This window comes from Homo sapiens, chromosome 1, assembly GCF_000001405.40.
Source record: "Homo sapiens chromosome 1, GRCh38.p14 Primary Assembly".
NCBI lineage: Eukaryota > Metazoa > Chordata > Mammalia > Primates > Hominidae > Homo > Homo sapiens.
This window is the reverse complement of record NC_000001.11, coordinates 100,870,991-100,896,079: the sequence shown is the minus strand read 5'-3', so window position 1 is coordinate 100,896,079 and position 25,089 is coordinate 100,870,991. Positions and strand designations below refer to the sequence as shown.

Below are 25,089 nucleotides of genomic sequence, written 5' to 3'. Positions count from 1 at the left end.
GCGCAACGCGTCCTGGGACAGGAAAGGAGGGAGGCCGGTCGCGGGCGGGGCCTGCGCGGCGGAGGGCGTGGCTTGCGGCGGGGGCGGGATGAGAAAGGTGCTGGAGCTGTTGGAGGGACGCCAGGAGGTGGCAACTACCAGGGGGTGTGAGGGGCTGACCTGGGATGGAATCCTGCCACCCGGACTCAGGAAGAAAATCCTGAGGTGGCGACCTGCAGACTGGGCTGGGAGATGGAGAGCCCGCTCACGCCCACCCGACCGCCTACCACCAGTGTTCCCGGATGCATGGGCTCCAGCGCCTGCCCTTTCGCCATTTCCTCCCAACTGGCATTAAATCCTGGTGTGGTAGATATCAGTGATTAAGAGTCTAGGCAGCCACGTGTTCTATTGCCGCCAGTCCGCAGGAAACGCAAGTGATCGTTTTGCTGCGTTAACTCTATGGGCGCCCAAATCTTAGGAATCCATTCCACGCCACCCCGAAAACAGCGCTTGACCCTTCTGGACTGCCACGCAGGAGGCGATCAATGTTTTTCTTTCTTTATTTTTTTAAGAGACAAGGTCTCGCCCTGTCACCTAGGCTGGAGCACAATGAGGCTCACTACAGCCTGGAACTCCCGGACGCAAGTGATCCTCCTCAGCCTCCGGAGTAGCTGAGACCTCAGGCGTGCGCCACCATGCCTGGCATCAATCAATGTCTTTCAAAATAAAGGCTGTTAAACGTAGTATAGGAAAGAAGCTTTTTAATGGTAGGTTCTACCAGACGTGTTTGTTTGATTTTTAGGTTTGGTTAATGCATTGTTTCCCGTACAATCTCAACCCGCGGAAACCCCGAAACTCTAGAATTCGTGCCGGTCTCTTTCGCTTCCAGGTCATCCCCGGGGCAACGGCCGCCGCTCTAATTCTTGTCAGAACCTCCAGGCCAGTTTCAGCAACGTGCAGGCAGAAGCTGGCCCCTCGGTGGGATGCGAGGGCGTGTGGAGCGCGGGGAGGAGAGCCCCACAGGCCTTTCCTGGGCACCCGCGGTGGATGGGAAGGCTCCTTCGGGCGCCTTTCAGGGAAGTTGTTTGGCTGAGGGAAGGTGGTCCGTCACGTGAATGTTTAAAAGTTGTTACCTTGGAGAAGAAATGGAGGAAAGGATTGGCTTTCGGAGGTGGGCTGGAAACTACAAAACCGAGCTTCCTGGGAATGCCTTTTAGGCCGACAGGAAGTGGAGCGTCACCGAAAGGGAGGGGCGGCCACTCGGGGACTGTCCCTTGCTCCAGGCGCTCACTTTGCGGGCGGCACTTTTTCCAGGTTGTTAATCCAGCTAATGGAGAAGGATAGATGCACGCTACTTGGTTTAGAAAAAAAAACAAAAATGAGCAAACGAGACGCCCCTTCCGTTTTATGATAACTAAGCTGCAGGGAAATAAATCGGCTGGCCCTACTGCAATCTACTGCACTCGAGGTAAGGAGACACAGCAAAATGCTCCAGTATTAGTATTTTTCTTTTTGTAGTGAGGATATATGCATGTTTTGCTCTCGTTCTGAGAACTTTGTGTGTGTGTATGGAGTATTCGGTGGTTTTATTTTTGAAAATATGTACTTATTCTACAATTTTGAAAAATGTTAATTAAAACTGCTGTGTAAAAACAGCTAGGTTTCAGAAGTAAGTTCTGGGAAGAGTATTTTGTATTTGCCTTTGTTAGCGTATATTTCATTCTTTTAATTTAAGTGTAGAAATATTTAAAATTAGTAGCATTTACTCTTTTTTTGGAAGGAAGTTTTTGTATTAGCAGTAGACCTTGAATTTTACTCTACTGCACTGCTGAGGAAAAATTAATTGGGTGCAAACTAGATAGTTTAAAGATAAATAATTCTATGGTAATTGGATTTTTCTCCAAAACGCCCTTATTCAATATGATTTAACTTGGGAGAAGGCGGGAGAAGTAATAGAAATAATTAAATTTCAGCAACTGATTTCCAGCATAATCCTAACTCATCAAGGTCAGCTGCATTTTGAACTTTTTTGTATTCTGCCTTTGAAAATAAGTCCTATATTTTATACTGTATTGCTACAAATCAGAAATCGCTTAAGTGGTTTATGGAGAAACCTACATTACCTCTTTTCAAATAGTTTTGAAATGGGTACGAGAAATTGAAGTTTAATTTCAGTTACATCAGTTTCCAGAGACTCCCAAATTCCCCCACTCCCCATCCCCCAAGATATATGATAGGTATTCCCATGAGGACCTTCTCCTTTCAAAAAGTGATGGTGATGTCTTCACATCTTTCAGTCTTAAAGAGCATAATGACCAAATTTAAAACTAAAGGCATTTTATTTGCAATATAAAAGTGTAGGTGGACACTATTTAAATCAGGAAAAGTTCTATGAGTGAAAAACGTCAGGCTGTGCCTCACTTCTTTTGTCATTGTCAAATAATGTTTGTCCCATATATGTTAACCTATCTTTGTTGTCATATCAAATTTGTTTCTTTCATTCATTCAACAGTCATTTAATGAATGTCTTCTATGTGCCAGGCTCTGTGCTGGGTGCTGGGGATACAAAGCCAGATAAATAAAAAGTTCCTTCCCTGGAGGAATTTTATGGAAAAGAGTAGTTATGAAGAAAGGGGGGGGTTGTGACAGGCAAATCAGTCTCGTCTTTTAGAACTCTGTGATGTTTAAAATTTACACAAGGGATGCCCTTGGAGCAGTGTGAAGGGACAGCTGTCACTCAGTAAGTCTTTCCATAAATACTAAGCCATTCCTTTTGCCCTTTCAATATGTCGTATTGGAAAATCAAAAATGATTCTTCAACTCTGTTCAAATGGTATCTTGCAAGTCACCAATCAGAATTCTTAATTCCTTTGTATGTTACAAGATTAAATCGGTTTATAAGATCATAAAATACATATACTATTGAACATTTTTAAACTAAAAAATGGATTTCTACCCTGAACTTTTAAATATGTTTTTATATCTCTCCTACCAACTAATTGCATTAGGTTAGCTATGCAGACTCTATGGGTGGAAAAACCCCAGCTGCTCAGACGTGTGACTGAGGATTCTGAGAAATGAAAGCAGAGAGAATTAAGGGGCAGAAGCTCATTTCAGTCATGGTTTCAGCTCCTTTTGGGCAATGGTCAGCAAGGAATAGGAAAGATGCTATCTGTCATTCCTCAGTAATCAACCCTGGCATTTATCTGCAACCCTGTTTGACCCTTTTAGATGCTTCAAATTGAGCGCCCTGGGAACTGCTGGTTAAAAAAGGAGTTGTAAAGGTACATAAGAATACAAATTCATATAAATCTAGAAACTGGATACAAGTGCAAATTGCTGACATGTTCAAATGTTTTGCTCCATGGCATACATCCTCTGGTTTCAAATGTGTAACATTAGATAGTTGGGATCGTGTGCATTTATTTTGCTTCTGGATCCTTATATTAGGGTTCTCTGGAGGGACAGAACTAGGATAGTTCTGGTAGGATAGATGCGTATATGAAAATGAGTTTATTAAAAAGAACTGACTCAAACAATCACAATGTGAAGTCCTACAATAGGCCATCTGCAAGTTGAGGAGCAACAAAGCCAGTAGTGGCTCAATCAGAGTCCCAAAACCTCAAAGGTAGGGAAGCCGACACTGCCGCCTTCAGTCTGTGGCCAAAGACCTGAGAGCCCCTGACAAACCACTGGTGTAAGTCTAAGAGTCTAACAGTCAAAGAACTTGGAGCCTGATGTTCGAGGGCAAGAAGCATCCAGTACAGGAGAAAGATGAAGCCCAAATACTCAGCAAGTCAGCTTCTCCCACCTTCTGCCTGCTTTTCGTAGCCAGGCTGGCAGCCAATTGGATGGTGCCCACCCACATTGTGAGTGGGTCTTCCTGAGAGTGGGTCTTCCTGTCCTAGTCCACTGACTCAAATGTTAATCTCTGCTGGCAACACCCAGAAACACCCAAATACACCTAGAAACAATACTTTGCATCTTTTAATTCAATCAAGTTGACAATATTAACCTTCACAAGTCCATCCCTTGTCAACTTGAACCCATACACATTTCTTGAAATCATACCTAATCTCCAAATAAATGAAACTGCCTTTGCAAAAATTATAACTGAGGAAATTATGACAGTGAAAGATATCAGACCTAACCAACTCCGTCTTGCTTCTAACCTCTAAACGTCCATTCCTGAATGTAAGCCAAACTAGCCTTGGGAAGGAATTTAGTTTATAGTTTAAATAATAGCCCTTCCCAAAAGCTAAACTGTTGTTGTAAAATGATTGAAAGGCCACCAGGCACCAAGTTAGGATGAGAGGGGCTGGAATTCTAAATATTACCAGCCATTATTCCAGAGGTCATAAGATTTGCAACTTTTCCAGTTACTCTTGAAGATAACATCACTATTGTGAAACTAAGATTGGCCTTTTGAGATGTCTTTTCAGGTTTTTGCATTTCTGATAACTGGATGGCCCCACCTGGACCTGCCAACCAGTTCTGTGGCCCCCACCCTGGAGCTGAGTCAGCATAAAAGGACAGTTTTGACTCCCTAAGATTTCATCCACAAGCCAACCAATCAGCACTCCCAACTCACTGGCCCCTTACCCAACAGATTATCCTTAAAAACTCTGATCCCTGAGTTTTCCAGGAGGCTGATTTGAGTAACACTAAAACTCTGGTCTCCCGCACAACCAGCTCTGCATAGATTACTCTTTCTTTTTTGCAATTCCCCTGTCTTGATAAATTCGTTCGGTCTAGGTAGCAGGCAAGGTGAACCCATTGCATGCTTACATAAAAACAATAATACGGTCATAATTATGCCTAACAATACAGCTATCCTTTATACAACCAGAAGCATACTAATCCTTAACCTAAATGCCATTACATAAAGTTAACAACACTTAAATGCTGATATGATGTCAATAAATGTCACAGGATACAGGAAAAAGAGGGGAAATATAGATATATTCTTTATTCTTAGTACAAGTGTATACATGCATAAACATATTCTTAACAAAATAAGGAGGAAAACTCATGACAATTACAGTCCTAATTTCTGCAACTGCTTATGTGGTCATAGCTGGTATTGATCACTACCTTCTTCTACTACCCATTCTGTATTCCCTTTGCTTTCAGCAAGCACCTCAGCAGGTCATAGTTTTTTACCTGGTGAAGTAAATTGGTACTGCAGAGAGTAGGGCATTGGTATAAAAATATCCAAAAATATGGAAGAGACTTTGGAACTGGGTAATGGGTAGAGGATGGAAAAGTTTGGAGAGCTCAGAAGACAGGAAGATGTAGGAAAGTTTGGAACTTCCTAGAGACTTGTTGAATGGTTTTGACCAAAATGCTGATAGTGATATGGACAATGAAGTCCAGGCTGATGTGGTCTCAGATGGAGATGAGGAACTTATTGGGAACTGCAGCAAAGGTCACTCTTGCTATACTTTAGCAAAGAGGCTGGTGGCATTTTGCTCCTGCCCTAGAGATCTGTGGAACTTTGAACCTGAGAGAGATGATCTGAATTTGGAACTTGTGTTTAAAAGGGAAGCAGAGCATAAAAGTCAGGAAAATTTGCAGCCTGACTATATGGTAGAAAAGAAAAACCCATTTTCTGGGGTGGAATTCAAACCAGCTGCAGGAATTTGCATAAGTAACAAGGAGCCTAATGTTAATCACCAAGACAAAGGGGAAAATATCTCCAGGGCATGTCAGAGACCTTCACAGCAGCTTCTCCCATCACAGGCCCAGAGGTGTAGGAGGGAAAAATGGTTTCATGGGCTGGGCCCAGGACCCTACTCCTACTCTGTGCAGCCTTGGGACTTGGTGCCCTGCATCTCAGCCATGGCTAAAAGGGGCCAACATACAGCTCAGGACATTGTTTCAGAGGATGCAAGCCCCAAGCCTTGGCAGCTTATACATGGTGTTGAGCCTATGGGTGCACAGAAGTCAAGAATTAAGGTTTAGGAACCTCTGTCTACATTTCAGAGGATGTATGGAAATGCCTGGATGTCCAGGCAGAAGTTTGCTGCAGGGGTGGAGCCCTCATGGAGAACCTCTGCTAGGGCAGTGTGGAAGGGAGAAGTGGGGTTGGAGTCCCCACACAAAGTTGCCACTGGAGCATTGCCTAGTGGAGCTGTAAGAACAGGGCCACCATCTTCCAGACCCCAGAATGGTAAATCCACAGACAGCTTGTACTGTGCGCCTGGAAAAGCCACAGACACTCAAACGCCAGCCTATGAAAGCAGCCAGGAGGGGGACTGTACCCTGAAAAGCCACAGGAGTACAGCTTCCCAAGACTCTGAGAGCCCACCTCTTGCATCAACATGTTCTAGATGTGAGACACAGAGTCAAAGGAGATTATTTAAGAACCTTAAGATTTAATGACCGCCCCACTGGATTTCGGACTTGCATGGGGCCTGTGGCCCCTTTTTTTTGGCCTATTTCTCCCATTTGGAATGGGAGCATTTTTCCAATGCCTATATCCCCACTATATCTTTGAAGGAACTAACTTGCTTTTGATTTTACAGGCTCCTAAGCAGAAGGGACTTGCCTTGCCTTGGAAGAGACTTTGGACTTGGGCTTTTGGGTTAATGCTGGAATGAGTTAAGACTTTGGGGGACTGTTGGGAAGGCATGATTGTGTTTTGAAATGAAATTTAGGAGGGGCCGGGGTAGAATGATATGGTTTGGCTGTGTCCCCACCCAAATCTCATTTTGAATTGTAATCCCCATAATCCCCACTTGTTGTGGGATGGACCCAGTGGGAGGTGATTAGATCATGGGGACAGTTTCTCCCATGCTGTTCTTGTGATAGTGAGTGAGTTCTCACAAGATCTGATGGTTATAAAAGTGGCAGTTTTTCCTGTGCTTACTCACTCTCTCCTGCCCCCTTGTAAAGAAGGTGCCTGCTTCATCTTCCGTGATGGTCATAAGAGGCCTCCCTAGCCATGTGGAACTATGAGTCAATTAAACCTCTTTCCTTTATAAATTACCCAGTCTGGGGTATTTCTTTATAGCAGTGTGAAAACAGACTAATACAACCCTCAATAGAAAGATGAAAACCAAAATATAGCACCAACCTCACTGGAAGTCATTAATCATCTACCTCATTGCCTAAATATAATTTTTAGAAGACAGAATAACAAATTTTAATTTCTAAAGTAACTCAAGGCTTATGGACAATGGCATTGAAAGCACCATTTTTTGTTTTGTTTTTAAATTTCCTGCTGACTGACAGAAACATCACAGAAAATTCTTTGATTTATCTTAATAGTGACAAGTGAGCCTGCTTCTGTCAATTACTGAAGCTATAAGGAGATTTTTTAAAAATTAAACTTCAACACAATGAGGTAAGTACCAATATTTTTTGGCTTTTGTTTAACTGTTGTAAAATACGTATAACACAAAATTTATCACCTTAACGGGTTTTAAGTATATAGTTCAGTAGTGTTAACTGTTTTCACATTGTTGTGCGGCCGATCTCTGGAACTTTTTCATCTTGCAAAACTGAAACTTTATACCCACTGAACAACAACTGTCCATTTCTTCCTACTCCCAGCCCCTGGCAACTGCCATTCTTTCTGTTTCTATAAATTTGACTTTCCTAGGTACCTCATAATAAATGGAATCATACAGTATTTGTCTTTTTGTGACTGCTTATTTCAATTAACATAATGTCTTCAAGATTCATCTATGTTGTGGCATGTATCAGAATTCCCTAATTTGTAAAAACAGAATAATAATACTCTTTTGTACCTGTGTATCATATTTTCTAAATGTATTATCCATTCATCTGTCAATTGACCTTTAGGTTGCTTCTGCCTTTTGACTCTTGTAAATAAGGCCACAATGAACATGGGTGAAGTACCAGTACTTTTGTCTGGGAAAAATTATCTCCTATAGAGTTGGTTTTATTTCCTTGGAAACACTAGTTCTTACTTAAGCCAAAATCTTAGAAAATACTGAGAGACCTCTCTTAGGTCCATTGAAATAGTATTCCAGGTTACAGAATGAAGTCAGTATGTATAGAGTTGAATATTCTTGTAGACCAGAACAAAGCTGGATATAGAGACTATTCAGAAGACATAGAAAATACAATGTGGCGGGCAGGGCGCGGTGGCTCACGCCTGTAATTCCAACACTTGGGAGGCCAAAGCGGGCGGATCACAAGGTCAGGAGATCGAGACCATCCTGGCTAATACGGTGAAACCCCGTCTCTACTAAAAATACAAAAAAATTTGCCGGGTGTGATGGCGGACGCCTGTAGTCCCAGCTACTCGGGAGGCTGAGGCAGGAGAATGACCCGGGGAGGCGGAGCTTGCAGTGAGCCGGATCGCGCCACTTATCTCCAGCCTGGGCGACAGAGTGAGACTCTGTCTCAAAAAAAAAAGAAAAAAAGAAAATACAATGTAGCTCAAGTGAGAGAGTCGAGAGTTTGATTTAGACTTGCCACTCTTTCTGTGGCTCAGGAAAAATCTTTTAATACTGTATTCTCAATCTCAAATGTCTTCTCTGCAAAATGGGATGGATACACTTTATTTCCTTTCTTTCTAAAGATTTGAAACATTGTCAGTTTGAGGTAATCTATAACATGAAGCAGGGAGAGCTCTGACAACTTTCATTAGTAATGCTCAGCTCTGTGAGGGCAGAAATTGGTTCTTCTTGCTCACTACCATCCCTTAGTACTTAGTGCTGGGCACGTGGTAAATACCTATAAATATTTGCTGGATATTTTTACCTTCCCCTAATAAAGTAAGAAAGCTCACATGAAGTGGGATTGCTTCCATCTTAGATTCAATACTTAAAAATATTTTTAAGCCATAATTCATCTGTATGAAATCCATTTCTCTTACAGAAGTGATTTTGGAAAGTGAGTTAATGGCTGAAAACCAATATTGGATAAAAGAGAAAGGGTTCTATAGAACAGAACAGGGATCTGTTGCCTGACAAAACAGATTCAAATGAAAATCTCTGGTATCCTGGAATGGTAAATGTACAATATTTGCAGAGGTACTTGGTTTCTTTTTGACCCATTTCTAGAACTAATTTTGCATGGCACTGTACTGAGCTAAAAATGCTTTTCTATTTCTAGGCTTTCCTCTTAGGATGCGTTGACTCCTTGGATCCTATGAGTCATGGATATGTTCCTCTTAGGAATAAGGCCTCTCTCACTCCTGCCCTAATATATGTCCATGGAATTGGTCATCTCCAAACATCATCATCATTATCATTATCATCATCAATAGCTACAATTAATTCACTATTCCAAGAGATAGGTGCAAAGCTAGAAAGAACTTTTATCTAGCATAATTCAGACCTGCGCAGTTTGAAAGTAGAAAGGACCTCATTGTCTACCTCAGGAGCAGATAGCTGGATTGAAGGAAGCAAGTGGTGCTTGAAAACGACTTTATGCATAATATTTATGTTATTTCCCTGTAAATAAGTGATAACAAAGCAAACTCTAGTTAATTGATAATAGCTGCCTGAAGCATTGTTGAGAAGGAATAAGATCCTTTGTATAGGAAAGGGGAAGAGGAAAACTAGAAAATGCTAGAACTGATGAGCAGCTTTTGCAATGCATAAGAGCTTAGGATTGAGGAGGGAAATAGAAACACAGGTACTTAATGCCTGATATCCCATTTTCAGTGCTGCCCTTGTTCATTCTAGCCTGATTTACCTGTTAAGAAATGGCTCATTCAACCTGTCCGCCAGATGGAAGACGTGATGTTTAATGTAATCAGCACAGAGATGCTTTCCTCACAGCTTGCAGTGCTAAATGACCTATTGCAGCAACATCATTCTATTTAAATGTGATACTGAAGTTTGTGTAGCTACTTCTCAATATTTTAGCAATTGTTTCAGAACTGTAGTCTAAAAAGGGCAGGACTAGGCCTTCTAAATAACAAGGTTTAAATTGGCTATCAATGATCATATATATGCGTAGCCATTCTATTGTCAATAGAAAAGATGGATCACTTCCACCCTAATAACTAGTCCGTAACACAGTTGATCCAGATTGTAGTCATCTAAATGATCCATTCATATCACTGTAATTGGCCATAAACATAAGATCACAAGATGAATCTCTGACACTACATGGACTCTTTTATTATTATAAGTCTATTCCTATTCCTGCCTTTACTGCTATATTTATTATTAACACAAACTAATTTAAATTATTTTGTTTTAGATTTGTGAAAAAAGTAACAGGAATTAAGAAGAACCTCGTAAGAATAGAAGAGCTACTTAGGAAAAAGGGAGGGGAAATCATTTTGGAAGGAGAGCATAGAATTGGTAGAAAATGAGAAAAGCTGTATGGCATTTCTAAAACAACAATGAAAAGAATGACTTTCCTGAATGTGGGTAAAAACCTTACATCAAAAACTCTTCCCCGAATCTTGTATAGCACCTGGAAAAGACTTGTGAAGAAAAATGACCTTTCATGTACCATTTCTGGCATTTTGTATTTTGCAATGCAATAAATTCTAGTTTATGCTGCTTATAATTTTAATGGAAGAAGCTTACCATGGGCAATACTGAATTGAGTTGTGTAGTGTTCTGACTTAGTTTTCTCTTTCTGCCAATTGTCATGAAGTCTGTAGTTTTTGTCACTTTCTGAACCCAAACTAAATTTTCTTTTCTCAACCAAGTAAGAGGTTTTTTGTCTGTTTAAATCATGTATGCTGCGTGCCGGATTAAATAATATAGCTTCCGGTTATCATGACCTGCTAAACTTCCTTGGGGAAATTCACAAGGATGATATTATCCATCAAATGATGCTTTCCCCCCAAGGCAAATCAGCTCATTCACCAAGAGCTTTCATAGAAACAGGGATGTTCAAATATATTTTAATGCAGAATATCTTTGAAAAGATGTGAAAAAAAATCAGAGATCTGAGACATCTTTTGTTTATCAAGTGGCTTGGCCACAGAACTGCATGTAGAAAGGGGGCCTGTGTGGTCTGTGTTTGAGGTCACATTTCATGACATGCTCTTCTAGTCACCAGATGGGTGATGACCCAGCTCTTCTATGTAGGGAACAGTTGCTTTGGTACTGTCTAGTCTTAATTGGGCCTTAATTTACATTTAATCTGCATTTATTCTGTTAATGTTTCAGGCATTCATTGACATTTAGGACAATTTAGACATAAATTCCCTCATTTAATTCAACTATAGTGATGTGAGCACTGAGTCAAAAAATGGGCCAGACACTGTTCTGGATTATAAAGAAGGACAGAAACTTCCCTCAAGATACGTTAAGACTGAAAAAAACAGCAAAAGAACAGTCGATAGTTGAAATACCTGAAAACAAGGACTAGAAACACAGTAATCAGAGTTCACTGGAATACTCAGGGTGGAGAGTGGTGAGGGAAACATTTATAGGAGATGTGATATTTGAAAGAGATTTGAGGGGCAGGGAGTAAGAGTTTGTCAGATAGAAGGGTTTTGGAAGTAGAGAAAATAGCATGTACCAATACATGGAGTCGTGGATCGGCTCACTGTATGTAGGTACCATTGAGGGGAAATGTCTTTTTGGAATTTGGCACCACATGCGCCTTTGCCTTAGTTTAAACAGTGTTGGTTATCTGCATGCCATAAACCTGGTCAGAAACTGGTCATTGGTTGTAGAGCCGTCTCTTCCAATTTTCTTTTTGCATCTTCTTACGTGCATCAGCTCAGGTTCTGCATTGGCCTCTGTATTCAACCTTGGAATGATTTTATCTCTTGGCAGCTGAGGCCCCTTTTCTGAGCATCTACATTCTATATTCATCAGTTTATAGGCAAGTAAATATTCTAGAAGATGAGCCAGAGGAGAAACAATCTGGACAGTATGAGGCAAATCTCGTAGTGAAATGGCAGAATAGTTATCGTTCTGCTGCCATCTGTGGCAGCAAAATAAAAATGACAGCTTCTCATTGTACAACACCACGTTGCTCATTGCTTTTCTACCTTATGAGTCAGAGAACATAATCTTTGTTCATGCTGTGCACTGGCATGTTTGTTTTCAGCTTCTCTCTGGATAATTATTGCTTTCCAGTCTGAAGGAACTAGCCTTGAGGAAAGAATCCTTCAACGGTGTTTCTTCTAGGGAACTTTGATAGATTATGTAGTAAGTAACTCTATAGCAGATCTTTGGAAATTCAAATTGCCTGGTCCATTTAAAGACATCCATGACAGAATTTGTACTGTTATTTAATATACTATATATTATTTACTTTCTTATTCTATGTCCACATTTAAGAAAATTACTTGTAATTTCAAATAATGCTCTTTGAAAAGCTACTTCAGTTCTCAGATATTTAAATATTACTGACATAATGACCCAGCAATTCTACTCTTAGGTAAGCACCTAAGAGGACTGAAACCATAGGTTCACATAAAAACTTGTACATGAATGTTCATAGCAGCATTATTCATAATGGCCAATATGTGGAAACAATTCAAACGTCCATTAACTGATGAATGAAGAAAATGTGGTCTATCCATAGAATGGAATGTTACTTGGCAACAAAAAAAATGAGGTACTGATATATACCTCATGATATATACAGCATGGATGAACCTCAAAAACATTATGCTAAGTGAAAAAAGCCAGATACAATGGTCATATATTGTATGATTCCATTCATATGAAATATCCAGAATAGGCAAATCCACTGAGACAGAAAATAAATTAGTGGTTTCCTGGAGCTGGGATGGAGGTCAGGGGTTAAGGGAAGTGAAAATAGGGATTGGCTGCTAATGGGTCTGGGGTTTCTTTCTGAGGTGTTGAAAATGTTTTAAAATTAAATTGTGGTGATGGTTGCAAAACTCTGTGATTATATTAAAAGCTACTGAACTGTATACTTTAAATGGGTAAATTTTATTGTATGTAATCTCTCCTTAAAGATACTAAAAAACTCCAACATAACAAGTATAATTTTTTATATTATCTTGCAGGTTAGTGACAGTCTTCCTTATTAATTTTTTGACACATCCTTGCAGAATTTACCCTAGCATAGTGGAAAGAGTTGTGGACTGTGCCATCAGAAGGTTTAGAGTCTTCTCTTGGTTCTGCTGCTGATTAGCCACATGCAGCTGCATGACCTTAGGCAAGTTCCTTATCCCCGGACCTTGAGTTGTTTATCTGTGAAACAAGGAAACTGGCTAAGGAGGACCCTGAAGTCTCTTTCAGCTCTCTGAGTTTCTGTGTTTGTGCAATAAGTCATATAATTATGTAATTATTGGGGCAGTATTTTTTAGTTGGTTTGTTGTGTTTTTTGTTTTTTGTTTTTTTATGAGATGAGAGTCTCACTCTGTTCCCCAGGCAGGAGTGCAGTGATGCAATCACAGCTCACTGCAGCAGCCTCAACGTCTTGGCTCCAGCTATCCTCCTGCCTCAGCCTCCTAAGTAGCTGGGACTATAGGCATGCACCACTACAGATGGCTGATTTTTTAATTTATTTGTAGGAATGGGGTCTCATGACATTGCCCAGGCTGGTCTCAAGTTCTGGGGCTCAGGCAGAATCCTGCTTTTGCCCCCGTAAGTGCTGGGATTACAGATTTGAGCCATCATGCTGGGCCTCCCGGGGCAGTTTTAGAGACAGGGCTTTGCCCTTTATTGTTTGAGTATAACTAATGGCAGTAGGATTTTCAGAAGCCACCTCTCTAGTAGTCCTCATCATGATGTTTAAGTGTGTTTTATTAGGCAACCTATATGTAGATCAGGGTTTCTCAACCTTGGCATTATTGCCGTGTTAGGTCAGATAATTCTTTGCCATGGGGGGCTGTCCTGTGCATCGCAGGATATTTAGCAGCATCCCTAACATCTACCCACTAGATAGCAATAGTATCTCCCCTCTAGTTGTGACAATCAGAGATATCTCCAGACTTTGCCAACTGTCCCTTGGAAGACAAAATCATCTCTAGTTGAAAACCCTTGGTGTCCCCAGCAGTGGTCCCCAAGCTTTCTGGCACCAGGGACCTGTTTTGTGGAAGACAATTTTTCCATGGATGGGTGGTGGGGGATGGTTTTGGGATAAAACTGTTCCACCTCAGATCATCAAGCATTAAATTCTCATAAGGAGCATGCAGCCTAGATCCCTCACATGCACAGTTCACAATAGGGTTTGCACGCTTGTGAGAATCTAATGCCACAGCTGATCTGACAGGAGGTGGAGCTCAGGTGGTAATGCTTGCTTACCCATTGCTCACCTCCTGCTGTGCAGCCCAGTTCCTAACAGGCTGCAGACCAGTACTGATGTGTAGCCTGGGGATTGGGGACCTCTGGTGTAGAAGACGCTAAGTAACAATGTATCAAAATAACTAAAAGGATGTGTTCTCTACCTATAAAGAACTAATGAATTAATGTGCAGAAAATATCATTGGGGGAAATCTTGGATTTTTTTCGTTCATGAGGAGAAGAGGAAGGATTTTTGTTTTGTTGGCATTTACTGTATTTATCAAAGTTATATTTACTGCAGTCATGGGGATGGGTGAAGGACAGAAGGGGAATAGACTAAGAGCTGTCAGATCCTTTTTGGAATGAGGCAGGGTGTCAGCAAATATATAAAGACATAACTTAAAAAATGAAAAACCAAAACCTAAAAGGGAAAGTTTAGGAAATGAGGGCAAGAGAACTGAGGTGCTTATGTTTACTTCTTAGTTCTTCCCAAGTACGACATAGGTCATCCAGATGTGTTTTTTCTCATATCTCTCATTCAAAGCTCAAAGCTGCAAATTAGATGATAGGTTCTTTCTCTAAAAGAAGAACAGAAGAACGCCAAAAACTGTGAAATCCTTCTAGCCATAAAGTCATCATTATTCTCCAAATTGTACTGAAGCTGTTTCTAATGGGCCTACAATGGAGTTCTAGACCTCAGCTATTGTCAAAGTACAGTGTGCCACTTGCACTACAGTCTATAAAGTCCTTGCTTTTCGTACTTTACTATGCAAACTAAAATTTACATAATTTTATTGGGTTGCATTATTTAATAAATACCTCATGAAATATTTACACTATGTTTCTAAAGACATAAATTATTCATATCTCCTGAAACCTTTCTGATACAGGTAAAATTGGGGGATTAGGAGCTATCTGAAAGGAAATGTCTGTGATGGATACAGGGGATAAACTCCTACTTAAAAGAATACATGAGAAGGAAGCAGTCACTCATGAGTGTCTTCAACGGTGTATATTTATAGTAAGCTATAGTAATTAATCTTATTACTTTTTCTAGATTAAAACTGCTAGATAGCAAGTTATTAGTGTCTAGAGATCAGAAACACTTCTATGTAAGTTTTAAAATGTGCTATTCCTACTCAGCTGCAGAAAATGAATATAAAGATCTTAATCATGGTATACTATAATGCAGTTAGTCAAAGTGATTGTTTATTCTCAGTACTTATAACCAGTCATTTTTATGTAGAACTGAAAATATGTGTTATGGGACCTACTTTTCCTTCAATATTAAAAGGATTTTCAAGGACTTTGAACCAAGATTGTTAATTCGTAATGATTTGTCCTTGACCACATTAACATTACATGTTTTAGTAAGAGGGTAGATAAAATGAAAACATGGTACACTAAAGCTTTAAGTTATTATCCTTGTAAAATAATCATGGAAAAGCTGAGGTTACCTTGAAAATAATTTATTTGTTTATACCTTAAGAGTGAGGCCGTGATAGAAGCAGAAACACAAAATTGCTCTTTTTAATAGAACAAGCTGCAGAGAAAGTCCAGGAGAGATACCCTTGAAATCACTCTCAAAAGCTTACTCTAAAGGTGACATTACTTTTCAAATCTGGACTGTTGAAAAGTGAGAGCTGCTGAATGACAATGATCTTCTCCTTGTCTTTGTGAACAAACTCTTCCTTTGCTTGCACATGCCTGAGCATACTGTCCTATCATGGAGAGTATGCTCTTGTCCTTCTTTGCAATTCTCTAAACTTAAACTTCAAAGGAAAATGTTAAAGACGGGGTATATATGATCTCTCTATGTCCTTGAACTATAGAGAGGAAACTTTCTACCATTACAAAACACACACCACAACATGAAACAAGCTTACAGGAATATGATGGTTACTAACCCAACCACTGCCAAGTCTCCTCAGTGAAAAACAAAATGTTGAGTAGATATCATTAGGAAAGTAAAATGAGATTTAGTTTGGAACAGAATATTCCAAAACTATTCTATTCTATTCCAAACTAAATTTAGACTACAGTCTTAGGATTGCCTATGGAATGATGGCCTAGCTTCAATTGCCTGACTTTAGCCACAAGACATGAAATCAAGAGCTTAAATATTACTATGTAAGTATACATACAGTTCACTTTTCCAAGAAGAGGGGGAGTACCAAAAATAAAATGTACAGAGGCAGTGTTATACCAAGAAGAAGAGTGACAGTAGCTCTTTGCAGTTAGTATACTTCAGCTGTGGTTAGCAGTGAAAAGTCTTATCCAGCTGTATTACATCTGTCAGTATTAAGCAATAGATGAGAGTAACTGTTTATCATAGCCAAGAAGAGAAATTGTACCAGAAGTGGGGATGAGAAGGGATAGACTATGGGTTAATTAAGGTCACCAAGAATAACATCTCATCTATTCTTTCTCAGAGATCTATTTTTTTCCTAAAGGTGTTTTAAATATGTTGTTTAGAAACTCCTGATTGGTTTTTGTTTCCAGTCTTTCTTTTCATAAGTAAATTTCTTTGAATAGTTCATTTTCCTCACTTCTGGCTTTGCACTTGAATAGAGTAGTAAAATAGATCCATGATGTGCTGAAATGGCTATGAAGACTCAGTTGCCAAAGTACAAAACAAGGACCATACCTAAAATGCTTCTGGTGGCCTGTGGAAGAGTAAGTAGCCTGGAATCAGAAGCAGAAATAGCAGAAGATTGAAAAACAGAAATAATTGAATGCCAACAGTACTACAGCAGGAGTCAGCAAGCATGGAAATGAAATGTTATTGGAATCCAGGGAATAAGAGTTTTAGGCATCTATAAAACTGTCTGAGATTTAACCTTTTCTCATATAAGCAAGGGATTTGATTACACAAAATTTTTTGACAGTGGATAGCTAGACTGTACTTATCAATTTGTTCACTACTGTTCTATGGCTATCTCTGGAAGACCCTTTAGGTACAATAAGGAAGATGGGAGAGTACATAGCTGATAATAATACCTTGTGATTTGTACTGTGAGAGATCGAGTTGTGGAAGCTGTAGGGCTGTGCCTCAGTTCAACCTGGATGTAAAGCCAGGCAATACACCCCCAAGCCCATGAACAACCTAGGCTCTCGGGGCAGATTTTCCTGTTGGAAATCCTAGCACTATTACTGAAATTACTTGGTAATCTTGGGAAGGGCATGTAATCTCTGTAAGCATCTAAACTATTAAATGGGAATAATAATAATAAATAATAAATTAGATCCAAGAACTCTCCAATGGCTTCTCATCTGGCGTATAGTAAAATCCAGACTCTAATGAGGGTCAGAGGTCCCACATAATCTGGCCCTTGCTTATTCTGATTTATTCTTTTTATAAACAGATTCTCTTCATACCCGCTACCCCAGATTATCTTTTGAATTTGTTTATTGTGTTATCTGTTTCTCCCTATCATCTCCTCTGCTACTAACAGCAGACACCTTTTGTATCTCATTAATTGCTGTATCCACAGAACCTGGAACAGTGGTGGCACAAAGTAAGTGCTCAGGAACTATCTGTTGAATGAGTAAGTACATACTGTGGTATATGAAGCACATAGTACAGGGCTGGTAAGTAATACACCTACCATAATTGTTTGCTGCCTCATGTATTATGGCTCTGTATGATTTTGTTTGGGAAAAAGTCTGCTACTACAGAAGTGTAGATTCGAAATTAATATATTACTAAGGGAAATAAAATCCCAGTTGAAAAATAATCTCAGTTCTGGAGATATAGTGATAAAATGATGGCAAATTTTTAAATGCTTAATTTTTCCAATTTTGTGTGTATAACATCTTTTGTCTGCAACTGCGTAACAAGCAGGGCAAGAAGGAAGGGAATATTAAACTGGTTTTTTAAAATCTCTTAGGCCAAATTACCTTATTGAGGAGGAAGGGAGAACTGAATTTGAATCAACTAAAATAAGATTGATATCTTTCCTCATTGGAAAAAAACATGAAAACACAGGGACTCGTAAGAATGCTAACATTTGTATGTTGTTTCCATTTCTACTCCAGGTGTTGCCACATCTGCAAACTTCCTGGGAGAGTAATGGGGATTCGAGTGCTTCGATTATCTTTGGTGGTCATCCTCGTATTATTACTGGTAGCTGGTGCTTTGACTGCCTTACTTCCCAGTGTTAAAGAAGACAAGATGCTCATGTTGCGTAGGGAAATAAAATCCCAGGGCAAGTCCACCATGGACTCCTTTACTCTCATAATGCAGACGTACAACAGAACAGATCTCTTATTGAAACTTTTAAATCATTATCAGGCTGTACCAAATCTGCACAAAGTGATTGTGGTATGGAACAATATTGGAGAGAAGGCACCAGATGAATTATGGAATTCTCTAGGGCCCCACCCTATCCCTGTGATCTTCAAACAACAGACAGCAAACAGGATGAGAAATCGACTCCAGGTCTTTCCTGAACTGGAAACCAATGGTGAGTTGCAGTGTAGTTCTCAGCCTGGAAAGGCTGCCGCTGTCCAGAGCTGGGACAGACATGTGAATTTCTGGCCTTCTGCTTAACCGTCTGGAGAAAAATGAAGGAAGTTAGTCCTAAGAAAGCACTTTGGAAAGCTTGAGGGACAATTTCCAAGATGTCAAGAAGTGGTTTCCTGGCGAAGAGGTTAATATTGTAATAAAGGATATGCTATAATTACATATGATTGCATTACAGTTGATAGTAAGATGCCATTTAGCTTATGCTTAATATATTTTTTTGCCACTCCTCTTTTCCTCCCATTCCTGACAGTTTCATGAGGTTGCAATTTGCTTAAAAGAATCTTGGCTTTATTCATTTATAGGCCCAATAGTTTCTAGGATGATGGATAATAACTGCTTGATTATTTTCCCTTCAGGCAGTTATACAATCAGTTATGATACCAAAAAAATTATTTTCTACTGGACAAATCTCCCCAAGAATACATTGCTTATTTATTGTTGGGTCAGAAAATACTTCATTTGAATGATCTATATAGACACTATTGTATTTTACTACTTTTGTTTTCATTTCCGAACTATTCAACTTAAATTTTTGTCCTTTCATTTTAGCAGTGTTGATGGTAGATGATGACACACTCATCAGCACCCCAGACCTTGTTTTTGCTTTCTCAGTTTGGCAGGTAATGTTGCTGTCTCTTTTATGAAACCGTCTTTATAAGATCTTGACTAGTACTTAACCACGGCAACATGGTTAATATAGAAGTTACCTAAAATATTTTAGATAATATTTATCTAAAAGATGGATGAATTTGTTATAGGCTAATCAAGATTTTCTGAGCTTAGTTCAGCCATCCTGAAAGTTATAGTATCTTTTATCTAGATTTAATTTATATTTTGGTGTATTGGGGAAAAGAGCTAGAACTGCCTTCCAGAGAACAATGGGGAAATGATGTGGTCCAGCAAAAACTAGAATGAGGAGATGTTTTGCCTAGACCACAGACATGTGTCTCAAATGATAAGCCTATTTCTATGTTAATAATGTGTATAACTTTTTGTAAAAGGAAGTATTTATTACCTCCACAAAATTTAATCCTGGTTCTGAGAGCATTGTTTAGAAATTTTGCAGTAATAATTTTACATGTACCATTGTGGTAGGAGGGTTTTGTTTTATTTTGTTTTGTTTTTTCCTAAATCATAGCTTGAATAAGCAGGCATAAATTGGTCAGTATCCTATAAAAGCCGCTCTCTCCTATTGAATATGTGTTAGTAATAGCTAACTTTTACAAGTTGCACTGCCATTACCTGAAACCGGAACTGCATGGAAGTACTTCGAAGCCGTGTCAAATAATTAAACACTGTGCTACCCAGTAAATGATCGAATTTATGCCATGGTAACTTTTAAAATTAGCTTCTTGGGATATAACAGCATTCGATATTAATGGTAAGTGATCACAATACTCAGCAGATATCAGCATTTTTAAAACTTCAGTTTTTAATTTCATGCCTAGTGTGCTGACCAACGAAATTTTTCCATATCAACAATTTTTTTTTCCAGTCCTTGGAATGAAATGAAATACATGAAAGCTTCTTGGACAAAAAGTTCTAATGTGATAATTCAACTGTGAGATTTCTATTGATGCTTAAAAATCCATTTGCCCAAAATGTAAAAATGGAGGCAGAATATGGGGACTGTGGTTAATTGGAACCATCTGAGTAAACTATAAATTAAAGATATATAAATATGATTTCAGGTTTTATTTTTAAAAATATCAAAAACAATTTCAGTCCATTGACCAACTTAAATTCAGTCCAACCCAAACCCTGCATAGCATAATGATCTGAGGTTTGTGTATAAGCAAGCAAGATTCGAGTAGACATTCATCTGTGTCTTTGTATTTGCCCATTACCTCCACTTTTAGTGTTTTCCCTTTTCCCTCTCTAGCCAATTGTGAAATTTCTTTCATTCTCCTAGATTGTATAAATAGCGCATCTTCTCTGAAACCTCCCAGCCTTTATCCCCCATCCCCTGACCTTCCCCTTTGCCTCCCAGCAACACAGTTGTCATTCTACCCTCAATGTGCCCATTGAATTTACCCAGCTGCACTTAAAACAACTTTCTCACAGTATTGTATTTCCTTGTTTGCATATCCATATTATACCCCTCTACCCTCTCTAGACTATAAGTGCTTTGAAATAGCATTTAACTCAGCCTCGTGTGTGTGTGTGTGTGTGTGTGTGTGTGTCCCTAGTTCTGCATCTGTTCAATAAATGAATGAAACTCAAATTATTTATGAGTGAATGAAACTTTCAACCCTATAAATTCTTACCTCTTTCCCATGCTTCAGTGTTTTTCTTTTGTTTGCTGATTGTTGTTTTATTTTTAGTCATGCTCATCTACCATCTATCCTTTCATCAAAGATTCTGATGCATCTCTCTCACATATACATAATATAAACATTTATGTTATATAGATAAGTATAAACATTTATTTATATTATCTCATTTTTTAAAAAAAGAAACACCCAAGCTGAAATGGGATAAATATAACATTGTTTAAAATCAACAGTAATTTTTATGAACATCGAAATCAACATGAAAAAGAGACAATCACACATGTAGGTCCATAATTTTATATACTCCTAAGAGATTAGAACAAATTTTCAAAACGATCCCATTATCTCTTATTTCCTACAACAAATAGCATTCAGGCAGTCAACTTTTCTCGCAGCACATTTTGAAGGATTGGACTCTTTGGTGACTGGAATTTGTTAATGTCAGATAATGTTTGAATTAGGAGAACATTTGTAAGGGTAGAATATTTGTTTTCAGAGATGTTTGGGTTGTGATGCCATTTGACCTGTAAACATATCAGAACACAGATTTATGAAGTTACCTGGAGCTAGATAAAACTGAAATGTAGAAACCAGGAATAAGGAAGAGTTGACAAATCAGTTTCATTCTCTCTGTAATAAATCATTGCCTTTTTCACTATGTCTTCTCTAAAAATATGTGACATTTTATTGTTCTTTTTCCCTCTTTTCAGCAATTTCCTGATCAAATTGTAGGATTTGTTCCTAGAAAGCACGTCTCTACTTCATCAGGTATCTACAGTTATGGAAGTTTTGAAATGCAAGCACCAGGGTCTGGAAATGGTGACCAGTACTCTATGGTGCTGATTGGAGCCTCATTCTTCAATAGCAAATATCTTGAATTATTTCAGAGGCAACCTGCAGCTGTCCATGCTTTGATAGATGATACTCAAAACTGTGATGATATTGCCATGAATTTTATCATTGCCAAGCATATTGGCAAGACTTCAGGGATATTTGTGAAGCCTGTAAACATGGACAATTTGGAAAAAGAAACCAACAGTGGCTATTCTGGAATGTGGCATCGAGCTGAGCACGCTCTGCAGAGGTCTTATTGTATAAATAAGCTTGTTAATATCTATGATAGCATGCCCTTAAGATACTCCAACATTATGATTTCCCAGTTTGGTTTTCCATATGCCAACTACAAAAGAAAAATATAAAAGTAAAACAAACAAAAACAAACCTGAAAACTGCTTGGCATTTGAGTAGCTTCTCCATGCTATGTATTTTTTTAAGCAACATCATGAATTTTATCTACTCCAGAAGTCTCTACAATAGAAAAAAAAGTGCAGTGCTTCTAGGATATAAAATTCACATTACTTTTGAAAGCCAAGAAGTTGGTCTTATCCAGTTAGGTCTTCTTATGAAGAGTTTTCATCCAGGGATATAACTCCTTGGTCAGTGATTTTATTGTTTACATCCTGAGACTGTTCTACAGTTTCTTTGACTCCTGGCATTTGCCTTAAGGACCTATAGCAAGCTGTTTCTAGGATCAGAAACTCAAGAGAGGCATTTCTCTGCTTTTTCACTAAAGGTCAGTTGTTTTAATTTGAAACCTGAAATGCCTCTTTAGCAAAAGCCTGTGGTATGGGGTAAAGCCATGTAAGAAGAGAATAGTCTCAGTCACATATGAAGAGGAAAATTTGCAGCTGCCAGTGCTTTCCTTGTGGCCCTGCCAACCAGCTCTTCCAGGACGAACTCAGTCCAGCATGGTTTTGATGTAACCATCCATGCTTTTATTTTTGTTAAGTCTTTTGTGACTGGGACAGTTAATTTTAGTAGCTGAAGAACGTCTAGTTGTTTGCTTGATATTTGTGAACATTTACTGCATGGATCACAAAACAATATACCCTGTATTTCTTACACGCCACTTATATGCAGCAAGGAGTAAATGTGTTACTAGATTCGGGTAGTGCATTTTGTCACTGAATCTGACCTTGAGAATGTACATTAATTCTTATATTTTACATAATGTATGTGTTGTTTAAGAAATGTATAAAAAACCTGAAAAAAATGAGTAAGAACTGGCAGAAGTTAAAACCCTTTGTATCAAAAGATCTTTATTGGTAGAGCACTGGTTATCTTCTGGATACTAAAAAGTTGTATTACAAAGCCAAACACTTGCATTCACAACTTTAAAAAAAGATCCAAGGAACTATTCATAATGATGAAATTTCAACTACATACAAGGAGGAGAAAATAAGAACCCAGTCATAACAGAGGAATTCTATAGGAGTCTGCATCAATTCATTCTTAAGGTTGCCTACTCTCTGTTATGTGAATTAGCGTCTGTGTTTCACCCATTGTCTGTGTTTAGTCCTTGTTCACCACTAAGGCAAGGAATTCTTAACTAGGCCTCTGTTTACCAACTTCTCTTTCTCCTCCTTTCCCTCTTATTCCTCCTTCTCCTCTTCCTTCTTATATAATGCTAGTATATTCTCAAAATTGCAAAGCTGTGAGAATATTAAAATAATCATGGCTAATGTTCCAATAATGAGGTCTTTGTGCATTTAGTTCCGCATATGATGGTTTTTTTTTTACATTAAAGAGTATATGTGTCTTAATGCAGTCAGATTGTAAAAAACAAAAACAAAGAAACTAAGAATCTTACTAAAAATCGATAATGTCAGTTATCTGTTTTGTCCAATATTGGTAGTACTTTTTTGCCTCTTATGATTCCTCTAGCAGATAAATAAAAGAAACTTTTGCCATCCATGTGTTCTGTGTTAACTAAGCAGACTCATGTTTTTGTGATTGGTGTTCTTACACATTTCTAGATATGATACTCTAATATGTTGCTGAGAATAAGGTAGAGACATTAGCCACATTACCCATGAAAAAATATTCCCAAATTTTATTTCCCATCTTGTGTCTTTAAACTTGTCTTAAGCATCACATAAGTTAATCATATCATGGTTTCAGATATTATAGAGCAAATAATATGAAACCAAAGTGCAGTTCAGTCTACATTACAAAGACTCTTGCATTGTAGATAGACTCCTATTAAAGCTGTCTTTCCCTGAACGCCTCTTATTCTTGCCTCAAATGATCTGGAGAAGAGATGCTCAGGCTTAAAACTTTGTAAGAGAAGCAATGCAACGTAGCGGGTCAATTGTGCACACTTTGCCATTAGAATACTTGGGCTCAAATCCTTGCTAGACCTCATTTTCTCTTTACTCAGTTTCCTTATCTGCAAAATAAGGATAATATCTGCCTGGAGTTTGTTTTAAGGAATAAAAGAGATAACTTGCATAAATACAGCACAGTGCCTTGCCCATTTTAGATGTTCAGTAAATGAAAGCTGTTGGGATGACAGTGTTATTGATAATAAGGACAGAATTAATCCTTCCACTCACCACCTAGGTGTTAGGAAGCCCCTGCATCCACCAGGTGAGACATTCAGGAAATTATTTGCATTTAACTATGGGTAAGGAACCATGGCAGTTTCATCTCCTATTCATTATTTATTTCAAATACTGTTTTTCCTTTCTTTTTTTTTGAGACGGAGTCTCGCTCTGTCAAATACTATTTTTCTTATGATTAAAGCAGTATATATTCATTCCGGCAATTTTGGCATATTCAGAAAAGTATAAAGAAGTAATTAAAAGCCCACTACCCCAATTAACAATGGCATTTTTGTATGTGTTCCTGCAGACTTTTCTAGGCATATATTTTACTAGCATGATTTATCTGGTATTTTATTATATGAATAAACCATAATTTATGCACTCAATCATACTACCATTTTATTTTATACTTTTTTACCATTATAAAAACATTTGGATAAGTATCTTTGCCTTGAAAAGATATCTTTGAGCATATCTATAATTATTTCTTTAAAATCAAGTCCAACAAAGTTCAATACCTGGGTCTATCTAGTAGTGTGTGTGCTTTTAGGGTTTTGCTACATACTGCTAAATGCTTCCAGAGGTGTTGACATGGCTAGCCTATTCATACCACATCTGAGAGCACCTGTTTCCTGTCAGTTTCCCAAAATTGAGTATTATTTAACAGGTTCTTTCATATATTTTTTCTACATATAAAATACTCAAATAGTGCTGGATTTGAAAGGCTGCTCATTCATAGAACTCTGTGTTGAGAAGACTGAAAA

General features: G+C 38.6%; 1 protein-coding gene across 16 annotated transcripts, besides 5 other annotated features; it reads left to right on the top strand.

Annotated features, from left to right (window-relative positions):
• Positions 460-1,182: an enhancer, noted in NCBI's record as "H3K27ac hESC enhancer chr1:101360454-101361176 (GRCh37/hg19 assembly coordinates)". NCBI's record gives its function as "activates a minimal SCP1, AML or CMV promoter by ChIP-STARR-seq in primed H9 embryonic stem cells {active_cell/tissue: H9 hESC(primed)}" and the evidence as "EXISTENCE:reporter gene assay evidence [ECO:0000049][PMID:30033119]".
• Positions 496-565: an enhancer, noted in NCBI's record as "active region_1387". NCBI's record gives its function as "activates an Ori minimal core promoter by ATAC-STARR-seq in GM12878 lymphoblastoid cells {active_cell/tissue: GM12878}" and the evidence as "EXISTENCE:reporter gene assay evidence [ECO:0000049][PMID:35858748]".
• On the top strand, positions 901-23,708 carry EXTL2 (exostosin like glycosyltransferase 2). Of its 16 annotated transcripts, none has more exons than XM_047449405.1 (7): positions 909-1,150; positions 1,294-1,447; positions 7,252-7,327; positions 17,633-17,656; positions 18,177-18,604; positions 19,216-19,286; positions 21,650-23,689. In XM_047449405.1, the coding sequence occupies exons 3-7, from the start codon at positions 7,323-7,325 to the stop codon at positions 22,136-22,138; spliced, it is 1,017 nt and encodes a 338-aa protein (XP_047305361.1). In that variant the 5' UTR covers positions 909-1,150; positions 1,294-1,447; positions 7,252-7,322; the 3' UTR covers positions 22,139-23,689. The 16 variants fall into 16 exon arrangements, 15 of the variants coding, with proteins under 15 accessions (XP_047305361.1, XP_047305362.1, XP_047305365.1 ...); XM_047449406.1 differs by having other exon boundaries at positions 7,216-7,327; XM_011540995.3 differs by lacking the exon at positions 909-1,150 and adding an exon at positions 3,211-3,263 and having other exon boundaries at positions 1,238-1,447.
• Positions 1,183-1,906: an enhancer, noted in NCBI's record as "H3K27ac hESC enhancer chr1:101359730-101360453 (GRCh37/hg19 assembly coordinates)". NCBI's record gives its function as "activates a minimal SCP1, AML or CMV promoter by ChIP-STARR-seq in primed H9 embryonic stem cells {active_cell/tissue: H9 hESC(primed)}" and the evidence as "EXISTENCE:reporter gene assay evidence [ECO:0000049][PMID:30033119]".
• Positions 5,920-6,120: a silencer, noted in NCBI's record as "peak338 fragment used in MPRA reporter construct". NCBI's record gives its function as "represses an SCP1 promoter by STARR-seq MPRAs in K562 erythroleukemia cells {active_cell/tissue: K562}" and the evidence as "EXISTENCE:reporter gene assay evidence [ECO:0000049][PMID:32103011]".
• Positions 11,773-12,067: a silencer, noted in NCBI's record as "tiled region #5467; HepG2 Repressive non-DNase unmatched - State 8:EnhW". NCBI's record gives its function as "represses a minimal TATA promoter and a strong SV40 promoter by Sharpr-MPRA in HepG2 cells {active_cell/tissue: HepG2}" and the evidence as "EXISTENCE:reporter gene assay evidence [ECO:0000049][PMID:27701403]".
• Positions 23,709-25,089: the final 1,381 nt, after the last annotated feature.